The sequence below is a fragment of the Homo sapiens genome, chromosome 19, assembly GCF_000001405.40.
Source record: "Homo sapiens chromosome 19, GRCh38.p14 Primary Assembly".
NCBI lineage: Eukaryota > Metazoa > Chordata > Mammalia > Primates > Hominidae > Homo > Homo sapiens.
In genome coordinates, this window is record NC_000019.10 from 5360054 (window position 1) to 5365591 (window position 5538).

Consider the following 5538-nt stretch of genomic DNA (forward strand, 5'->3'; position numbering starts at 1 on the left):
CAAACAACAACAACAACAACAAAACTGGAATCAGGTCAGGCCACCCCTTCTCCAGACCCTTCCACGGGCCTCCTCCAGTGCTCTCCCCATAAAGTTCATATTCCTCCCCAGACCCCCTGCCCATCTCTGAGCCTCAGTTTGTTCACCTGTCAAATGGGTCTATGAGCCATCAGACTGTGAGCCCACAATTGGCCATCTTGTTCCTTGCTGTATCCCCAGCACCTAGAACAGCACCAGACACACAGCAGGTGCCTAATAAATGAATGGAGGAATAAGCAAGCAAACCAATCAGCAAATTCATTCACACTTACAGGCTCAGCTCTGTCCTTCTGTGGCCTCAGTGACTCCTGCCTGGTCCACCTCTGGCTGCCTCTCTGAGCTCCGTCTTTCTGGGATTGATGAGTTGGGTCTAAGCAGAGGCCCAGGGTACAGATGTCACTGTGGCCTCTGTGTCCCCCACCTGTGTCCCCGCAGCTCCCGGGCTGCAGCCTGTGAGGGAAGACAGATGGGCTCATAATGTCCAATGAATCATAGCCACTGCATCCCAGCCTGGACACATGCCCAGCCCACTCATCCGCGGGTCTGTGACATGTAAGAGTTGGCGCTACTCTTCCCCTGTGTGTGCCAGACCCTGTGTGGCCACCTGGGTTGGTGTCATCCAGGGGAAATAACAGGCTTTGTTCTCCCCGCCCCATCTGACCGGTTTTCTCCTCTCTGCCACAAAAGTCAACATTCTGGACAAGGGTGGGAGGAAGTAGTGCTTCCACATTTCGCAGGAGGACTAACATTAATTAAGCACTTAATATGTAATGGGCACCATTTGGAGCCCTTTATTACAATTTCCACATTTAATCCTCCAACAATCCTATTACCAGCCCCATTTTACAGATGGGGAAACTGAGGCACAAGTGACTTGCCCAAGGCGCAGAGCCACCAAGAGTGCTTATGGCAGTATTGTCTCCAATAGCAAAAATGGAAGCAACCTAGATGTCCACCCATGGGGAATGATTAAAATACTCTGTTTTTTTGTTTTGTTTTGTTTTGTTTTGTTTTTTGAGATGGAGTCTAGCTCTGTCCCCCAGGCTGGAGCGCAGTGGTGCGATCTCGGCTCACTGCAAGCTCCACCTCCCGGGTTCTCGCCATTCTCCTGCCTCAGCCTCCCAAGTAGCTGGAACTACAGGCCCCCACCACCACGCCCGGCTAATTTTTGTGTTTTTGTAGAGACGGGGTTTCACCGTGTTAGCCAGGATGGTCTCCATCTCCTGACCTCATGATTCGCCTGTCTCAGCCTCCCAAAGTGCTGGGATTACAGGCGTGAGCCACCATGCCCAGCCAATACGCTGATTTTAATTAAAACATTAACCAGGTGTAGTGGCACACACCTGTAGTCCTGGTGACTCGAGAGGCTGAGGCATGAGGATCACTTGAGCCCAGGAGTTGGAGGGTACAGTGAGCTATGGTCACACCACTGCACTCCAGCCTGGGCAACAGAGCCAGATCCTGTCTCTAAACAAGAAAACAACAACAACAAAAAAATTAGACCAGGTGTGGTGGCTCACACCTGTTATCCTACCACTTTGGGAAGCTGAGGTGGGGGGGTTGTTTGAGGCCAGGAATTTGAGACCAGCCTGGGCAACATAGCAAGACCCCATCTTTAAAACAAATTAAAAGAAAATTAGCCAAGCACTGTGGCACACACCTGTGGTCCCAGCTACTCGGGAGGCTGAGGCGGGGGGATCACTTGAGCCTGGCGAGTGGAGGTTGTAGTGAGCAGAGAGTGACAAAGAAAGACCCTGTCTCAAAGCAAAAAGACAGAGAGAGGAAGAAAAAATTTAAAACCCAGTCTGGTTCCATAGAATACCAAAAAGAATTGCAAACAAGTGTTCAAACAAAAACTAGTACACACATATTCATAACAGCTTGATTCGCAATTTTCAGAAGCTGGAAACAACCTAACAGTCCGTCAACGGATGGATGAATAAGCAAAAGCGGTCCATGCATGCCGTGGAATATATTCAGCCATAAAAAGGAATGAAGTTCTGGCCGGGTGTGGTGGCTCACGCCTATAATCCCAGCACTTTGGGAGGCCGAGGCAGGCAGATGACTTGAGGTCAGGAGTTTGAGACCAGCCTGGCCAACATGGCGAAACCCTGTCTCTACTAAAAATACTAAAATTAGCCAGGCACGGTGGTGCATGCCTGTAATCCCAGCTACTTGGGAGGCTGAGGCAGGAGAATCGCTTGAACCCGGGAGGCAGAGGTTGCAATGAACCGAAATGGTGCCACTGCACTCCAGCCTGGGTGGAAGAGTGAGACTCTGTCTCAAAAAAAAAAAAAAAAAAAAGAAGAAGTTCTGATCCACACTGCAGTGTGGGTGAACCTTGGGAAGGTTATGCTCAGTGAGAGGAGCCAGACACAAAAGAACAGAGACTATATGATTCCAGTTATTGAAAATGTCTAGAATAGGCAAATTAATCAAGACAGACAGCAGTGTAGAGGCTCAGGAGAGGAAAGCGGGAAGGTATTGCTTCATGGGTACAGAGTTTGGATTGATAAAAATGTTTTGGAAGTAGATGGTGGTGATATTGAACAATATTGTGAATGCACTTTAATGCCATTGAACATTTTTATTTTTATTTTATTTTATTTTATTTTATTTTATTTTATTTATTTATTTATTACTTTTTGGGATAGAGTCTCACTCTGCTGCCCAGGCTGGAGGGCAGTGGCGTGATCTCAGCTCACTGCAACCTCTGTCTCCCGGATTCAAGCGATTCTCCTGCTTCAGCCTCCTGAGTAGCTGGGATTACAGGTGCTCACCACCACGCCTGGCTAATTTTTTTGTATTTTTGGTGGAGGCGGGGCTTCACCATGTTGGCCACCATACCCGGCCCCACTGAATATTTTTAAATGAATAAAGTAATAAAGTTTCTATTATGTGTGTAATTTACCACCATAAAAAATTAATAGTCTGGGCCAGACGCGGTGGCTCAAGCCTGTAATCCCAGCACTTTGGGAAGCCGAGGCGGGCGGATCACCTGAGGTCAGGAGTTCGAGAGCAGCCCAGCCAACATGGTGAAATCCTGTCTCTACTAATAATACAAAAGTTAGCCAGACATGGTGGTGGGCGCCTGTAATCCCAGCTACTCGGGAGGCTGAGGCAGGAGAATCACTTGAATCCGGGAGGCAGAGGTTGCAGTGAGCAGAGATCGCACAATTGGACTCCAGCCTGGGCAACAAGAGCTAAACTGTCTCAAAAAATAAGAAATAAATAAATAATAGTCTGCTTTATTCCCTCAGTGGAATACTATGCAGCTGTATAAGAATTGGGAGTCATTTTGTTGTGTTTTGAGAGAGGATCTCACTCTGTCGCCCAGGCTGGAATGCAGTGGCACAATCGTGGCTCCCTGCAGCCTTGACTTCCTGGGCTCAAGCGCTCCTCTCACCTCCACCTCCTGAGTAGCTGGGACTACAGGTGCACCACCATGCCTGGCTAATTTTTTATTTTTATTTTTAGTAGAGATGGGGGGGTCTCGCTATGTTGTCCAGAGTGGCCTCGAACCCCTGGCCTCAAGTGATCCTCCAGCCTCGGCCTCCCAACGTTCTGGGATGACAGGTGTGAGCCAGTGTGCTCAGCAGAAGTGAGAATCTTCGTGTACTGAAAAGAAATGATCTCGAAGGTGTCTTGTTAAGTCAGGAAGGTGCAGAACAGCTTGTGGGTACACATGCGTGTGTGTGAAAAAAGCAAGTAGGCAAGAAAAATATACACACAAGTGCTTGTGTGTACATACCCTGTCCCTGGAAGGGAGACAGGGGACATGGGATAACAACGGCTACCTCTGGGGATGGTTACTGGGTGATCAGGGCCAGGACAGGGAGGGGAATTTTGCCCCCCATACCTTGAAAGGCAAAAAAAAATGATAGTAAAATCCAGCTCTGGGCCAGTCGTGGTGGCCCACGCCTGTAATCCCAGTACTTTGGGAGGCCAAGGTGGGAGGATCCCCTGAGGTCAGGAGTTCACTACCAGCCTGGCCAACATGATAAAACCCTATCTCGACCAAAAATATAAACAAATTAGCTGGGTGTGGTGGCGCATGCCTGTGATCCCAGCTACTTGGGAGGCTGAGGCAGGAGAATCGCTTGAACCTGGGAGGCAGAGGTTGCAGTGAGCCGAGATCGCACCAATGCACTCCAGCCTGGGTGACAGAGTGAGACTCTGTCTCAAAATAAATAAATAAATAAATAAAATTAAAAAGCCAGCTCTGCCTTGAACAAGCTGTGTGACCTCAGGCAGGTCACTTCACCTCTCTGTGCCTTAGTGTCCTTATCTACAAAGCAAGCATGATGAATACCAGCTCAGAAGGATGAGGATGAGGCTGTACTGCATTAATACTAATAGGGTGCTGGAAGTAGGGTTTGGCATAACACAGGTGCCATCTAAGCATTTCTCTTGAGTTGGGTACTCTTTTCTGCCTTTATCTATCCAAACAAAGAAATGTCTAAAACTCAAGTTTTTGAATGCGGAACGAAGGGTGTATGGAGAGTGTTTAGCTCCTGGTGCCCAGCCCATGTTTGGCATCTGCAGCCTCTGGGCTGGTGAGCTCACCCCTTCTCTTCTCCACTCCTTCCCCGGACCATCCCCAGTAACCCAGCCTCAGAGCAAGTGATGCAACCTGGGGAAACCGAGTCCCTCTGGCCACGGGTGCTCCCACCACACCTTGCCTGCATGGAAGATGGAGGGCCTCCTAGCATTTTGTTCTCAGGGGATGTGGAACGAGGATGGGAAGTGCCTCCCAGTCACCTTAATTAGCATCTCAGAGGAGCTGGTTGCCATGACATCGGGAGGAAGTTGCTGGCCGGGGCGGAGCCTGGCCCAGGTTGCCCCAGGAGGGACCCCATTTCTCTCCACCCACCAGTGGCTGGCCTGGCCAAGTCCCTCAGCTCTGGACTCAGGCTAAGTTGGGTTTCCATCCAAGCTTTACTTCTCACCATCTGAGACTTTTCCTCTTCTGGGAAGTAGAAACTAATTTTAAAAAGTCTTCCTAGGAATATTGGGAGAATTTAATGGGATATAAAATGCCCAGTGCTGGGTTCGGAGACTTAACTATTGTTATTATTTCCTTTGGAGAAAGTGGTTTTAAATATGACCCCCAAACTTTTCTTCTTTCTCTTTCTCTCTCTTTCTTTCTTTCTTTTTTTTTTTTTTGAGACGGAGTCTCGCTCTTTCGCCCAGGCCGGAGTGCAGTGGCGCTATCTCGGCTCACTGCAAGCTCCGCCTCCCGGGTTCACTCCATTCTCCTGCCTCAGCCTCCCAAGTAGCTGGAACTACAGGCGCCCGCCACCACGCCCAGCTAATTTTTTGTATTTTTAGTGGAGACTGAGTTTCACCGTGTTAGCCAGGATGGTCTCGATCTCCTGACCTCGTGATCCGCCCGCCTCCGCCTCCCCAAGTGCTGGGATTACAGGCGTGAGCCACCGCGCCCGGCCTCTTTCTTTCTTTCTTTCCTTCTTTCTTCCTTCCTTTTTTCTTTCTCTTTCT

General features: G+C 49.2%; 1 annotated feature.

Moving 5' to 3' along the window:
* Positions 4829 to 5328: an enhancer, noted in NCBI's record as "H3K4me1 hESC enhancer chr19:5364893-5365392 (GRCh37/hg19 assembly coordinates)". NCBI's record gives its function as "activates a minimal SCP1, AML or CMV promoter by ChIP-STARR-seq in primed H9 embryonic stem cells {active_cell/tissue: H9 hESC(primed)}" and the evidence as "EXISTENCE:reporter gene assay evidence [ECO:0000049][PMID:30033119]".